Source organism: Homo sapiens, chromosome 2 (assembly GCF_000001405.40).
Source record: "Homo sapiens chromosome 2, GRCh38.p14 Primary Assembly".
Taxonomy (NCBI): Eukaryota; Metazoa; Chordata; class Mammalia; order Primates; family Hominidae; genus Homo; species Homo sapiens.
Window position 1 is genome coordinate 182985844 of NC_000002.12, and position 17277 is coordinate 183003120.

Sequence of the window (17277 nt, forward strand, 5' to 3'; positions counted from 1 at the left end):
TGGATATATTAATTTTCATGTAGTAGTACAAAAATCATATTGGTATGCAGAGCATAGTGGCAGTGAGATTATACCCAAAGTAAGAGTCCTTTGTGTGATACTTCCTTATAGCATTTTATCAACACTTCAAAAACATTTAAAATCTGACTTCACTAATTCCAAGGTTCTACATATTGAGGCAATATACTTAATAATTCTCATTGACTGAAAGTCCCCCTCTTCTACTACCATATCTTGCATACTATTAATCTGTACTCACTTCAACAAAATGATGCTTTAAGAATTTTTCTTGATTAAAGCTACCACGGATAAAATAAAACTACTCACGCATGTGACACGGCTGCCTCCTTGCATTCTCTTATGTCATTAATACGTTTATTATAGCTAGGTGCAAAAACAAATTAGAACGTTAGTTTAATTTGATCAATAACTGTCAAAATGAGTAAGTCTAATACTAGAAGTCAATTAAAAATGACATTATCAATTCAGAAACTGGCCATCAAACTGGAAGTGCATGGAAGAATCTACCCACACTTTTTCCTAGCACTTAGATGTCCAGTCAAGCCTTCCTAAAAAAAAAAGTAACATTATATTAAATCCAACAATAAAATTAAACTTCACAATGTAGATTTTCATTTTATTAAATGTTATTACTTCCTTAAGCCCCAATGGAGACACTGAAATTATACTTCTGATGTAATTAACATCAGAAGTGATTTCCAAAAGTCTAAAGTACTGACAAAGCTATCATTTCTGACTTTTTAATCAAGTCTATCTTTAAGCATGAAAAAATTCTGAAAGGATATATATTAGTGATCAAAAGTAATGACTGTTTGGATAAAAAGGTTTTGTGAAGGAGAAAACTGAGGCAGAAAAGCATTTGCCGACTTCAAATTATTTTAAGAGAACTATATATGATTTTAAGCTATGTATTTTTTTAAAAAAACTTATTTTTCAAATAAAAAAACATTTAATTAACATCAGCTTAAAGATGCTACCATGAAAACAAATGCTAATAAATAATTTCATGAATAATAGATATAAAAACTCAAAATTCCTAAAATGTTAAAGAAAAAATATCTTCCTGACAACCTCTCTAAAAATCTCTTACACTATGGCCAGGTACGGTGGCTCACACCTGTAATCCCAGCACTTTGGGAGGCCAAGGTGGGTGGATCACTTGAGGGCAGGAGTTCAAGACCAGCCTGGCCAACATGGTGAAACCCCATCTCTACTAAAAATACAAAAATTAGTCGGGCATGGTGGCGGGCACCTGTAATCCTAACTACTTGGGAGGCTGAGGCAGGAGAATCACTTGATGCCGTGAGGCAGAGGTTGCAGTGAGCTGAGATCACACCACTGCACTTCAGCCTGGGTGACAGAGCGAAACTCTTGTCTCAAAAACAAATAAAAAAAAAAGTAAATAAATAAAAATCTCTTACACTAAAATGGACTCCAACTTCTATGTTTAAGTGGTCTAAGATTTATGTATTCTTTGAGCAAATTTCCAAAATATAATAATTCTGTAATCATCACCCTCTATAATTAATACACTTTTATACTTATGGTTTGATGATAATTCATATTTTAAACTGGATGATCATTCACAATTAAATTAAAAATGCAAACTCATAATTTTAAATACAGAGATTCTCAAATGATAAATTTATTATTAATAAAGCATAACAAAGACAACTGGTTTCACTATGCCATTAAATTTACTTGCACCATACATAAGTTCACTCAATATACAGAGGCTAACTGGTTTTAAATGTTTACATATATTTACATATGATTCTACAATGAGTTTGTCAGTATGCTAGTACATGATATTAATAAAAGTTTCATGATTTTCAATCTAAATCAATTAGAAAATGACAAAGCCCATCTTGCACATAATATTTCAGGGTATTCCACCATCTAAAATAAGAGCTGAAAAGTACATAGGGCACTATTTATCATATGACTGACAGATCACTGCCATAAGAATATCAGTATGGTGACAGAAATCAGAATAGTAGTCACTTGAGAAAGGAGTGGGGGGGGAGTGGGGACTAGGCATGGCAGTACCGACCAGAAAGAAGCACAAAAGAATTCTCCAGAGATGATGGAAATGTTCTTACATCTTGATTTAAGTGGTGATGATGCCGGAGTTTTCATATGCAAAGTCACTGAGTTATACAGCTAAGATGTATGTATTTTTCTGTTTGTATTTTCTCTCAAAAAAGTACTCGGGAAGAAAAGGGCAGATTCCTTTAACCTCTCCAAGACACAGATAGAGGAGGTTAGAGGTGATGCTCAGGAACCTGGATTTCAATTTGCATTTCGGGGTAATTCTTATGTACACTAAAATGTGGGATATATTGGCTTACATTTAGCGTCAGACATATACACATACATTAAAATATCTAGAAGTTTTATTTCATTTCAATGTCATTAAGTCATTATTCAACTGGATGTGAAATAAATATAAGCAAATTTCACTGTTATCTGAAGCTAGGAAGCCCAACTTATATATTCAACATAAGTATAGCAGATCCTAGATATTTTTAAAAGATTTCATAATTGCCACCAAGTCTGAGTTCAATTTGGCTTTTATATATTGGCTACAGAATCTCAAGTGGAGAGAAATAAAGTTATTAAAAATTTCAAAGAAACACATTTCAGATAATTATTTGCTGAACTGGAAATAAATGAAAATAAATAATGTGGAATACTATTATTTAAATAAAAACAACATGATTTCCTACATGCAGTGATATGAATTCTGTAATGGTTATAATTAATCCAATTAACTATTTTTTATTGCTTCATATACTTTTACAAGTACACCCTATTCTAAAATAACACTTATAAAAATTTTAAACCTCTAAAATGTATATGGTACTTTTGCATCTAAAATCATATATGACTTGCAAAAGAAGACATATCTTCCTTCTCCTATATTACATGTTTTGAAAGGTCAGGTAACCTCAGTTTTTTTTTAATATGTGAAGTTACCTGTAAAAAACATGATTATTAACTATCAGGATGACTGTTAAAAACAACTTCCTGGGATCCAAGTCAGATGGTATAGGCTGTATCTTCCTGCACAGTGTGACTACTCCTTTATCCCCAAAACTTCAGTAAAGATAACTCACTCACCACCCTTCTCCAAAAAAGACAAAATAAATGAAAATGCCATACCCTCGTATGTTTACAAATAAGTCTTCTGCAGCTTTGTGAATGTGGAAAACTTCATCCCGAAAGAGAGAGAGGCAAGAGCTACTTTGAAGAGCTAGTTTCCAAAGGTTCAGTGCTGTAGCGTCAGTATTTAGGATCCCATGGCACAAAATAAAGCCAACTTTAAATAAAAAGAAAGCAAATACAAATGTAAATGTACAAGTATTCCAAAGTTTGGTGACAGTGTAGCTTTTGAAAAATACAGAAACGTAACCACGATCACTAAATTGAGGCTTCTGAGTGACAGTAACAATACATATGTATAAACCATGGTAATACGTTTCTTTTCCAATTATAATTTTCTGTATTCTGCAAAACCAGTTATTTGAACCTGAACTGACAAAACGGGAAAAATGTCACTTCTGGGTTATGAACCAAGTCATTTTAATAAAAATAACATTTATAAAATATTTTCAACCAAAGATCAGAAATTTCTAATTAACATAATGCAGTAATCATTACAGTTGTTATAATAACTTAAAAATAAAGCTTATCTTGGGGCCCGGTGCTGTGGCTTATGCCTTTAATCCCAGCACTGCGGGAGGTTGAAGTGGGAGGATTGCTTGAGCCCAGGAGGCAGAGGTTGCAGTGAGTCGAGGTTGCGCCACTGCACTCCAGCCTGGGTGACAGACCCTGTCTCAAAAAAAATTTTTTTTTAATGGCCAGGTGCTCATGCCTGTAATCCCAGCATTTTGGGAGGCCAAGGCAGGCGGATCATGAGGTTAGGAGTTCGAGACCAGCCTGACCAACATGGTGAAATCCCGTCTCTACTAAAAATACAAAAATTAGACAGGAGTGTTGGTGCGCCCAGCTATTCAGGAGGCTGAGGCAGGAAAGTCGCTTGAACCCGGGAGGCCGAAGTTGCAGTGAGCCGAGATCATGCCACTGCACTCCGGCCTGGGTGACAGAGCAAGACTCTGTCTCAAAAAATATATATATATAATTTATATATATATAATATGCATACATACATAAAGAGAATCTACTTTCCTAATCATGAGAATAAATCATAGCATCTCACATTTTAATAGCATCCTCACATTTTTAATAGCAATTTATAGTTCATTAAGTCTTCTCATATATATTATTTCAAATGATTATCCTGTGTAGTAGACAAGACAGGTGGTATTCTTTCTTTTTTTTTCTCTTTTTGGTAGAGATGGGGTCTTGTCATGTTGACCAGGCTGGTCTCAATCTTCTGGTCTCAGGCCATCCTTCCACCTCATTCTCCCCAAGAACTGGGATTACAGGTATGAGCAACTGCACCTGGTCCATATGCTTCTTATAGTTGAAGAAGTGAAGGGTCAATGACTTTACTAAAATACTATTAAAGTAATAAAGCTAGGACTTAGCCCCAATTATTCATCCTTAAAGTCCAATACTTTCAATATATTAAGTTGCTCTTTATTATATGAATTCTAAATATCTTTTTTACCTTTTGTTATCTAATCTGGAAATCCTATATAAATGTATAATTTTATACATGCTGACTGATATCCTCTCTAGTCTTCCATACTAGGACGTAAGACCTCATCTTTCATTCACTGAACATCTACTCAGTGTCTACTATATATACAAGGTTCTGTAGTGGGCCAGTTAGAAACCAATCCCATTTTCTTTGAGACTTCCCTATGATTCTCAATAATCACTCCCATGTTTAAACTCCTATTATAGCTGTGCAACTATCTTGACACTTTAACATAAAACTTGCCATTTATCTTTTGATTCTTAGCTCAAGCTTCCTTCTTGGGTCACTAGAGAAGCAAGCTAACTCTCTAAGTAGGCATATTTTGTAGAATCATACACACATATTTAACTTCTTTGACTTGAACTATACAAAAATATTTTTCATACAACAGGGCCCCTAAAACAAGCCAATTATTCAATCTGGCACACAATCAAAGAAACAGAATACATGTATGAAAGATTAAAGAGCCCTCAAGAGAAATTTTGTTTATAAAACATTATCCTCTTATGTACTTGACTTTCCACCCTAATATCAAGTGAAATCAGATTTCACTTAGTGTCTTACACCTTTGTACGTTAACACTTACAAAATACTTGCTACTACTAATACAAAGTTTCTCTGAAAATTTTTATCACTTACAAGTTAAAAGTGTTTGTTTTTAACATACGTGTTATGAGTTAAAGTATATTTATTTGTTTAAATTGGACCAAAAAAGGCAAATGAATTTAAAATAGATTGCCCAGGCTGGGCATGATGGCTCACACCTGTAATCCCAACACTATGGGAGGCCAAGACAGATGGATCACTTGAGGTCAGGAGTTTGAGACCAGTTTGGCCAACATGGTGAAAACCCCATCTCTACTAAAAATACAAAAATTAGCCAAGCATGGTGGTGGGCACCTATAATCCCAACTATATGGGAGGGTGAGGCAGGAGAAACGCTTGAACTTGGGAGGTGGAGGGTGCAGTGAGCTGAGATCATGCCACTGCACTCCAGCCTGGGTGACAGAAAAGACTCAAGTCTCAAAAGAATAAAATAAAATAAAATAGATTGCCCAAGATTAGGGGGATGACTTATTAATTAAACTACACATCAATCTCCTTTACCAAAATTAGGATGAAAGGACAAAAAAAAAAAAATTTAAAAGTAGCTCTTAAAACAGAAGACCAAGTCTTGACAAGAAAGTTGAAGAAAATCTTTGAAGGCAGAAAACAGATAAAATTGGACTATCAATATAAAAAACAAGGCAGAAATTAGTAATCCAAAACTCTGGAGATAGGAAAAAAAATCTTTCCTAAGGAGTCTCCCAAGTCCAATCAACAGACCCAAAAATGAACCCTAAAATACGTATCAGGATAATTAATTTTACATCTGTACTTCAAGTGCTGGGTCCTCAATATTCTAGGTCCTGCACAACTCTTAGCATCGGGCTATAATCTAGAGCAGTGATTCTTAAACTTTAGCTTGCACCAGAATCACTGAGAAAGTACATTAAACAGATTGTTAAGATCCATCTGCAGAGTTTCTGTTTAGTAGGTCTTGGGTAGGGACCAAGATTCTGCACATCTAAGAAGTTCCTAGGTGTTGCTGATGTTGCTGGTCTAGGAACCACACTTTGAACTAATCCAGAACAAAGGTCCAAAGAAAGTAGACTACCTATTGAAGAAAAATCCTAGTCTGGGTAGTAGTTCCAAAAAGAGAAGTGCAGAATTTGAGGCAACTCCTAACCTCCAGATTAGCTCTACTCAGGGTTCAAATACATGAAAGAAGCAAAATTCATTCCTTATTTTGGCAACTGTGGTTATCCCAAATCTGCCTTCTCCATGCCCATATATTCCCCATTAGGGGAGCCTGCTTCCTGATCGACTTACCGGCTCATTACACAAACTCATGCCATCAGCATTCCCGTTTAAAATAAAGACCAGTGGGAAGCAAAATCCAGAAGTCACTAATGACAGCTAACTCTACTAATTAACTCAATTATTCATCTGTACATCCATAAGCACAAAACAACTAATAATTACCACACAACCGAGCAAGATCAAAACTCTGAAAGCTGTTTTTCTAAATAAACTATGAGACAAAGCATGATAATTTCACTTATCTTTATAGAAGAAAATATAAATATCACAAACCTGGTCAATGTAAAAAATAATATAATTAATAAAAATAGCTACGGCCAGATAGTATTGTTAAATTTCCCCTCTTTCATACTAAAAACACACTACTCAAAGTATCAGTCCATAATGAGACTAAGTATTGGAACAGGGTATTTAGAAATTTTCATAAATATTTCACAGTGATTTTGGAGTAGAAACTTAATAATCTGTTAGACTGAATCTAGTAATAAAAACTATGAGCTTGTATTTTATGTCTTTATTATTTTGTTTTTCTGGTAATTCTAGTAATTCATTTTCTTTATTTTATTAAAGGATCAATCCAAAAAATATTAAAGAAGAAAAACTAGTCCTTCACCATAGTTTGAGAAACACTGTAATAAAAAGTCAACAAATACAGTCATCTCTCAATGTAGGGGATTGGTTCCAGGACCATCAACAGATACCAAAATCTGTGGATGCTGAAGTTCCTTATATAAAATGGTGTAGTATTTACATATAACCTACACACTTCCTCCTGCATAATTTAAATCACCTCCAGATTACTTGTAATACCTAATACAATACCTACACATCACTTCATTTGCGTGGACTCAATGTAATACTCATTATGCAGTAAGTTTTGCTTTTTGGACCTTTGTGAAATTTTTTCCCGTATTTTAATTGGCTGTTGACTGAATCTCTGGATGCAGAACCCCAGGATATAAAGGGCCAACTCTATTCTCTAAAGGTTAATAAATCAAGAACAAAACCTGTAAGAATGAAAAAACACAAACACTTCAAAATTATTCCCCTGTGGCAGTGAGCCTAGGGGTGAGTAGGAGGAATTTATCTATATTACAGAAATTCTCATTCTGTATTAAACCTGTGTGTCTCCATGGAATAGTACACAGCCATAATAAATGAATTCATATCCTTTGCAGTAACACGGATGGAGATGGAGGTCATTATCCTTAGGAAGCTAAGGCAGGAACAGAAAACCAAATACTACATGTTCTTACTTATAAGGGGAGCTAAACACTGAGTATACATGGGCACAAAGAAAGGAACAATAGACACCAGGGCCTACTTGAAGGTTGGGATAAAAAAAACGACCTATCAGGTACTATGCTTATTACCTGGGTGACAAAATAATCTGTACACCAAACCCCCATGACATGCAATTTACCTATATAACAAACCTGCACATGTATGCATGAACCTAAAAGTTTAAATAAAATCTCTTTTGAAGCTGATAAACAAACAGCTTAAAAGCAAATACAACAAGCTATTAGAAGTCATAGAAACTTGGTGGTAGATTTATGGGTGTTCACTCTACAATTATTTCAACTTTCTTGATGTTCACAATAAAACGAAGGAAAACAAACAAACAAACAAAAACCTTGTGTCTATTTCTCTCATAGTTTGTAAGCTTCTTAGAAGCAGAAACTAGTACTTTTATCTCCTGTGCATCTAAAAAACTGCCAAACATACGAGTAATTTATTAAACTGAAGTGAATTAAAACCAAAAACTTTAAGTGAACGGATGTGACATTTAAATAATCATTAAAAGCAAAACCAAAATTTAGTTTTGAAGGTTATGTTGAAAGGCAATATAACGTAGCCCATGAGCCTTGGAGTTAGGCTGGGTTCTTATCTTGTCTTTGTCACTCACTAGCTGTGTGGCCTAAGCTTTAGATTCCCCAGCTTTAAAATAGACTACCTGGCCGGGTGCAGTGGCTCACACCGATAATCCCAGCACTGTGGGAGGCCGAGGCGGGCAGATCACTTGAGGTCAGGAGTTCGAGACCAGCCTGACCAATATGGAGAAACCCCCGCCTGTACTAAAAATACAAAAATTAGCCAGGCATGGTAGCGTGTGCCTGTTGTCCCGGCTACTCGGGAGGCTGAGACACGAGAACTGCTTGAACCCAGGAGGCGGAGGTTGCAGTGAGCCGAGATTGTGCCACTGCACTCCACCCTGGATGACAGAGCAAGACCTCATCTCAAAAAAAAAAGAAAAAAAAGAAAAAAAACCCACAAACAGGCTATCTACTCTGATAGGATCAATATGAGGACTGAAAGAGGTAATGGACATAGATGGGTTAGCACAATGCTAAGCACAGAGGTAGTAACCATGTCACCTGCTATTTTTCTCTAAAACATAAAGCCTGGGGAGTAATCATAACACTAACCCATTTTACTTACAGATAATCCACTTTTCCATTGCATCCAAAGAGAGGTATTCACAAGGCATCTTAAAAAGAGAATATATACATTTGCAGTTAAAAGAAATTCTAAAAAATATTCCATATTGAGCCACTCTCCTCCCTTTCTCCTGATAACTTACTACCCAATTCTTCGCCCAAATACTACCACAACAAATTTGAAGAGCTGGATAAAAGTTTTATTACCTATACTGAAACTTGCAGTCAATAAACAACGAGAGGTGTGCCCCTTTCACATCTGCATACCCTCAAACCTCTCTTTAAAAAAATATTGTTGCTAATTATCTTTAATCTGGTAAATGACAACTTATCAATTTCTCAAGCCTATTTCAAAGTTTACAATATTCCAAAAGATAAAATTTTAGTCAAGTTAAAAGACATTTATGTGTCTGAATACTCACTGTCTCACCAAAATCAGTAGCTATGTGTGTGTATTCTCCATATGTGTGACACCTATGTTCATAAATACAGAGAATAGACTGAAAAAAATATAATGGAATATAACAATGATTTTGTCTACTTGGTTCTACTTGGTGAGATTTGGGGTGATTTTTGTTTTTGCTTTATACTTCAAATTTTTCTACCATGATAAAGCAAAACAAACTTTTAAACTTTAAAGAAAAAAGTACTCATACTATTCACCATATTAATTTATCACCAGTTTTCATTAAGACTCTAAAGCTAAAAAATCTGAACAATATGACTTAAGTAGTGAACATTTTATAATGAACTTCAACTAATAAGCTAATGCTAATTAGAAACAAACAGCAACAGCATTACTGAACTATTATTTTTTTAAAAGTCACTTTATTTTCATTCAAAAGAGAAAAATAGAACCATACAGTGTCGGACTGTGCTGGATTAAGCATTGTACTAGGTGCACTGATGAGGCTCAATAACTGGGCATTTCTCCACTGGTCAGCTGAAAGATTCCTTCGAGGATATACCATTTGAAGAGAAATTAGTGCATCTGAAAGAGACTAATTAAAATACGAAAAAAAAGCTGAAGAATAATTTTCTTTCCTTTTCTGTTTACATTGCAGCTATAATTGCTGTGTGTTTCTAACTATACCATCATAAAACAACACAGCCTAATTATACCCATGCTCCTTATAATATCTGAGTTGGGTTGTGGCTCCTCTCCTCTAGAATTTTTTTGCTAACGTTATAAAAGCTACACAGATTCTGCGTTTTTGAGCAAAAGCTTAGGTCAGAAACTCATGTTATTTTCTTAAAGGTTAAAATACGTGGCAATCTTGGGAACTTTATTCCAAAAGGGATAGACAGCCCACTGTCACCTTTTTGCCAATGCAAGTTTCCATTCTGATAGTTTCTGATAGTTCCAAAAGAAAAAGACTTCAGGGTTATATGACTAAGTGTTAATAAAACTCAACATGCTTTATATTTCTCTAAAGAATGTCTTATAAAAATAATACACTGTACCTCATCTTAATAAATTACTTAACTTCTCTTTATCAACGGGTTTGTTGATTACAGCTTTATTATCAAGGTATTTAACGTTTCATCTCAACTGTTTCTTTCTTGCTTTCATAAATGTCTTTTGCTATTAATCCCTGCTTCCTAAAAATTCTGTAAAGAGTGATTCTTTTTTTTTTTGAGACGGAGTCTCGCTCTTTTGCCCAAGCTGGAGTGCAGTGGTGCGATCTCAGCTCACTGCAAGCTCCGCCTCCCAGGTTCACGCCATTCTCCTGCCTCAGCCTCCGGAGTAGCTGGAACTACAGGCGCCCGCCACCACGCTCAGCTAATTTTTGTATTTTTAGTAGAGACGGGGTTTCACCGTGTTAGCCAGGATGGTCTCGATCTCCTGACCTCCTGATCCGCCTGCATCGGCCTCCCAAAGTGTTGGGATTACAGGCGTGAGCCACCACGCCTGGCTGTAAGAGTGATTCTTTAATCTGACTGCACACAGAATGCCAGAGAAGTCTGTTCTGAATACAGAATACAGGGCTGTAACTGAAATTTAGTGAAACTGAACCTCTGGAAACAGAACCCCACAATCTACCATTTTATTAAGCTACACAAAGTGATTCTGACGTAGCCAACTAAGAATGTTTTAAAAATTAAATAATGTAATTTTTTAAATCCTGGGAAATTTGGGAGGTTGTTATGTTATGGGAATTTACCACTTCCTCTAGATTTTCTAGTTTGTGTGTACAGAGATGTTCCTAGTAGTCTCTGATAATATTTTGTATTTCTGTGGGATTGGTTGTGATATTACCTTTCTCATTTAATTGTGGTTATTTGCATCTTCTCTCTCTCTTTTTTCCTTGTTAATCTAGCTAAGAGTCTGTCAACCTTATTGGCAATCCTTTCAAAAAACTAACTTTTTGTTTCACTGATCCTTTGTATGGTTTTTGGGTCTCAATTTCATTTAGCTCTGCTGTGATTTTGGTTATTTATTTTCATTGCAGGCTTTAGGTTTAGTTCATTCTTCTTTTTCTAGTTCTTGTAAGTGCAAGGTTAGGTTATTAATTTGAGCTATTTTTATCATCGTTTTAGTGCCATAAACTTTCCTCTTAACACTGCTTTTGCCACATTCCAGAGGTTTCAGTATGTTGTGTCGCTATTTTCATTTGTTTCAAAGAATTTTTTTATTTCTGCCTTAATTTCATTATCTACCCAAGTCATTCAGGATAAAATTGTTTAGTTTCCAAGTATTTGTGTGGATTTGAGAATTCCTCTTGGTATTGACTTCTATTTTTACTCCAGTATGGTCTGAGAAGATGCTTGGCATGATTTTAATTTATTGAGATTTGCTTTATGAAACCAGGAATAAACAGAAATCCTGAACAGACCAATGAGTAATCAAATTGAATCAGTAATAAAATACCTACCAACCAGAAAAAGCCAGAGGCCACATAGATTCACAGCTGAACTCTACCAGACATACAATCCTATTGAAACTATTTCAAAAAGTTGAGGGGGAGGGGCTCCTCATCATTCTATGAGTCCAATATCATCCTGGTACCAAAATCTCGCAAAAATACAACAACAAAAAAAGAAAACTACAGGCCAATATCCCTGATGAACATAGACACAAAAATCCTCAACAAAATACTCACAAACCACATCCAGCAGGACATCAAAAAGTTAATTCACCATGATCAAGTGGGCTTTATTCCTGGGATGCAAGGTTGGTTCCACATAAGCAAATCAATAAATGTGATTAACCACATAAACAAAAATTTTTAAAACACCATATGATCATCTCAATAGATGCAGAAAAAGCATTCGATAAAATCCAATATCCCTTCACGATAAAATGTTCAACTAACTAGGCATCAAAGGAACACACCTCAAAATAAGCAGTGCCATCTATGACAAACCCATAGCCAATATACGGAATGGGCAAAAGCTAGAAGCTTTCCCGTAAGAACTGGAACAAGACAAGGGTGTCTGTACTCCTACCATGTCTGTACTCCTACCACTTCTATTCAACATAGTACTGAAAGTCCTAGCCAGAGCAATCAAGCAAGAGAAAGAAATAAAAGGCATCCAAATTGAAAAAAAGGAAGTCAAAGTATCTCTTTTCATTGACAATATAATTCTATACCTAGAAAACTAAATGACTTTGGCAAAGTCTCAGGATACAAAAATCAACATACAAAAATTAGCAGTATTTCTATACACTAATAACATTCAAGCTGAGGACTCAAGAATAAAATCCTGGCCGGGCACGGTGGCTCATACCTATAATCTCAGCACTTTGGGAGGCCAAGGCGGGCTGATTACCTGAGGTCTGGAATTTGAGACAAGCCTGGTCAACATGATGAAACCCCATCTCTACTAAAAATACAAAAATTAGCTGGGCGTGGTGACAGGCACCTGTAATCCCAGCTACTGAGGGGGCAAAGGCAGGAGAATTGCTTGAACCCAGGAGGTGGGGGTTGCAGTGAGCCAAGAGCCAAGATGGCACCACTGCACTCCAGCCTGGGTGACAGAGTAAGACTCCAACAAAAAAAAAAAAAAAAAAAAAAAGGGGGGAAGGAAGGAAGGGCAAGCAATCCCACTTACTAATAGCCACAAAAAAATAAAATAACTAGGAATACACCTATACACCTAACCAAGGAGGTGAAACCTCTCTAAGAGAAGAACTAGAAAACGGTGCTGAAAGAAATCACAGATAACACAAATAAATGGAAAAGCATTCTACGCTCATGGGATGGAGGAATCAATATCATTAAAATGACAATAATGCCCAAAGCAGTTTAAAGATTCAACACTATTCCAATCAAATTACTGTCATTTTTCATATAATTAGAAAAATCTATTCTAAAATATATATGGAACCAAAAAACAGCCTGAATAGCAAAGGCAAAATAAAGAGACAACTTACAGAATGGGAGAAAATAATTGCAAACTATGTACCCAACATAGGACTAATATCCAGAATCTATACGGAACTTAAATCAACAAGAAAAAATCAAACCACCCCACTAAAATGTGGGCAAAGGACGTCAATAAACACTTCTCAAAAGAATACATATAACCACCCAACAAACATATGAAAAAATGCTCAACATCACTAATCATCAGAGAGATGCAAATCAAAACCACTGGTAAAATGGGATACCATCTTACACCAGTCAGAATGGCAAATATTAAAAAGTCAAAAAAATAACAGATGTTGGCAAGGCTACTGGAGAAAAGGAAATGCTTATACACTGTTGGTGGTAATGCAAATTAATTCAAACCCTGTGGAAAGCAGTTTGATGACTTCTGAAAGAACCAAAAATAGAATTACCATTCAACCCAGCAATTTCATTACTGGGTAGATGCTCAAAGGAAAATAAACTGTTCTACCAAAAACACACTTGCACTCGTATGTTCACTGCAGCTCTATTCACAATAGCAAAGACATGGAATCAACCCAGGTGCCCATCAACACTGGACTGGATAAAGAGAGTGTGGTATATATGCACCACGGAACACTATGCAGCCATAAAAAGGAACAAAATCATGTCTTTCTGCAGCAACATGGATGGAACTGGAGGCCATTATCAAAAGAGATTTAATGCACAAACGGAAAACCAAATACTGATTGTACTCACTTATAAGGGGAAGCTAAGCATTGGGTACACATGGACACAAAGAAACAACAGACACTGGGGACTCCAGAAGTGGGAAGGAGAGGGATAAGAACTGAAAAACTACCTATTGGGTACCATGTTCACTACTTTGGCAACAGGATCATTAGAAGCCCAAACCCAGCATCACACAATATACTCATTTAACAAACCTGAAAGTGTACCCCATGAATCTAAACAAGAAACAGGAAAACAAACCCTGGCAAATAAAAAATAGTGTTTTATCAAAATTCTAAGGTATCACGGAATATTAGAAAAAAATCAAGATTGGAAAATAAGTGGTCTAAATTCAAATGAATTATCCTATGTAATTATCAATAACCTACTATATACTGAATTTGTTAATGTGCTAATGCCTATATAGAACTTAAAAAGCCGAGAGCCTAGCTTGGAATTTTCAAGAGCCTGTCAAGGAAATTTTCAACACCTAAGTGGAGAAAGAACCAAATATAAAATAGCTAAATAAAAACAAGACCATACATGATTAGGGAAAAATCCTAAATGGATCCAGAGAGAAAAGAGGAGAGGAATAGAAAAGACAGTTCCGGGTGGGGAAAAACCACTACTGATATTAGAGATAGGAGATGACCATGATATGTGCAGTATTTTGAGGAATTCTGATACTTCCATCTAAAATGCTGATTTTTTTAAATTTCAAAACTGATGCCATCTACTAGCTTCTTGCAAACTAATGATTCAACCAATTCCAAGACAGAAAACCTATATAAATTTGTGTATAATGTAGCTATGCAAATCTGGAAAGAATTCTTCAGAATTTTCATGGGAGTAAAAAAATTCAAAGAAAATTATTGGTGTTAACTGTATGCCAAGAAAAAAGCACAGTGGCCAGGCACAGTGGCTCATGCCTGTAATCCTAGCACTTCGGGAAGCTGAGGTGGGTGGATTGCCTGAGCTCAGGAGTTAGAGACCAGCCTGGGAAATATGGTGAAACCCTGTCACTACTAAAAATACAAAAAAATTAGCCAGGCGTGGTAGTGCATGCCTGTAATCCCAGCTACTCTCGAGGCAGGGGCAGGAGAATCACGAGCCCGGGAGGCGGAAGCTCCAGTGAGCTGAGATTGCACCACTGCATTCCGGCTGGGGCGACAGAGCGAGACGCTGTCTCAAAGAAAGAAAAAAGCACAGACTTACACAAGGTAAATAGTTTAACTTTTATGATTCAAAGAGAACAATGTAGACCAAGATTCTAGTATCCTGGGCTTCAGTTCTAGTTTTGCCACTATTGTTACCAAATGACTTACCTTGTCATGATACTGCTCCAGCCCTTAATCCTTAGCTATAAATAATGAGACTGGATAAGATACCTATGAATTTCCTTGAAGTGTTCAGAAACTACCATTCTGTGAATCAGCCCTTCTGCAGAGAATCCATAATGACAAGACTACTTACAACCAAACTTATTTCATTAAGAACTATTTTTAATATCTCTTAAAAGATAGTCATTTCAAATTATTTTCATAAAACCCGTCATTTTTTGAGACTATAATAAAGTTAAAATTTATCAAACACTGTACTTTTTAATGAAGTAATTCATTTAATTCTCATAAGAACCATATGAAATAAGTGCTATTATTATTCCATTTTTACTGATAAGAAAACTGAGGTATCGTGAGGTTAGTTAAGTAACTCGACAAATATTATACTATAATTTGCAGAATTGCTATTAAAACCCATTAGTGTGAGAACAGACCCTCTCAAATACCATATGGTAAATCCTATTGTTTAGTGCTATATTAAAATCTAAAAAACTATAATGAAATCAATCAATATATTCTTGAGTCTCTATACACTATTCTGAATCTCATTAATTAGTTCCCTGTCTATAATTAGATAAAAGCACACATAACTATTACTTATATCCCATTATAGTATTTTTCAAAAACAAGATTATCCCTTTATCCAACCATCCATCCTCATGCTATGTTATATGCCCATTCTCTCATATGCCTAACAACTGCCTCTTACCTTGCTATGGGGTACAAATTCTTCCATCATCTTCTTTAAAGGGTTTTCATAATCCACAATCATCTGGCCAAGGCGTGGGTATTCTCTGTCACTTAAAACAGACATATCAAATTTCAATGAGTTGTAATCCATCAAACTGAGCATTTTAGAAAGACTTTTATAATGCAAATCTACCTTGCTCCATGAGTCATTTCATGGGCATAGTTGTATAATCCAATGATTGCCTTCCTTTCTTCAATTCGAGACAGCAGTATCATTAGTGTTGTATAGGTTATAATTAAATCTAAGTAGTTCTTTGTTAAATCAAAGTTTACAGTCTAGGAGAAAAAAAAATCAAGTTCAACTACTTCCTATTTCTTAAAATTTTAAACACACACAAAATCTTCATAGAAGCTATTGAGAGCTAATAATTTTCTGTATTTATTTTATCCCTGTTCTAAAATGCTAATTCCTTTCACTAAAAGCACATCTAAAATTTGACAGTTACAGATAACAGTTTTGTGTCTGACACAATTTTATGGATGAAAGAAAAAGAGCTTGTGATCACTATATTCAAACTGGTAACAGTTCAAAAGAATAAAAGCCAGAATAATAAGGAACACTGGTGCCAATCTCACGAAAGAGGAAAAAAATTATTTTTTAAAGTTCACCATTAAGTAAATGGAGACAATTTTCACTTTGACTTCTTGTATCTAAAAATTATCATACTAAGAAAGAGTCCATCAAGTATGCCTTTTACAGAGAAAATATTATCCACTTAACTTTTCAAAATTGGGCCTATTAAATAAAATACTAAAGTTAACGTGTATTTCCCAATATGTACAAGACTTATACTCAGTGACAATCAAAACAAATAAAAAGAATACACACTTTACTTTTTAAAAAAGCTATAAAACAAGCCAAATTAATAATGCTAAAACTTTATATGCTAGTTACATAATCTAGCTAAAGAAAAGCAAGTGGTCCCCTGAGCTCTTCTGGAAACAGAATAATTGGACATTTTTCTGAAAATGATACTTACAATATCAAAGAAGACTTGGCAAACGTCAATAGTATTCAGCAATTCACAAACATGGTCCTGAAAAGAAATACTTATTTTAATCTTTTATCTGTATAAATCTGTTTAAATTCAGAAAACACAAACAAATAAGGTATGTGTTAAACTTCA

The 17277-nt window shown here is 35.2% G+C and overlaps 1 protein-coding gene across 4 annotated transcripts in view; it reads right to left on the bottom strand.

The window, feature by feature from the left end:
• Window positions 1–17277, bottom strand: part of NCKAP1 (NCK associated protein 1) — a 129343-nt gene that overhangs the window by 76729 nt on the left and 35337 nt on the right. For all 4 annotated transcript variants that reach the window (NM_001437266.1, NM_013436.5, NM_001437267.1 and 1 more), the window contains 7 exons: window positions 17131–17187; window positions 16284–16426; window positions 16110–16200; window positions 9858–9995; window positions 8996–9044; window positions 3187–3343; window positions 328–384 (listed from right to left, as the gene is read on the bottom strand). In NM_001437266.1, coding sequence (NP_001424195.1) covers window positions 328–384; window positions 3187–3343; window positions 8996–9044; window positions 9858–9995; window positions 16110–16200; window positions 16284–16426; window positions 17131–17187 — 692 coding nt within the window. The remainder of the gene's footprint in view (window positions 1–327; window positions 385–3186; window positions 3344–8995; window positions 9045–9857; window positions 9996–16109; window positions 16201–16283; window positions 16427–17130; window positions 17188–17277) is intronic.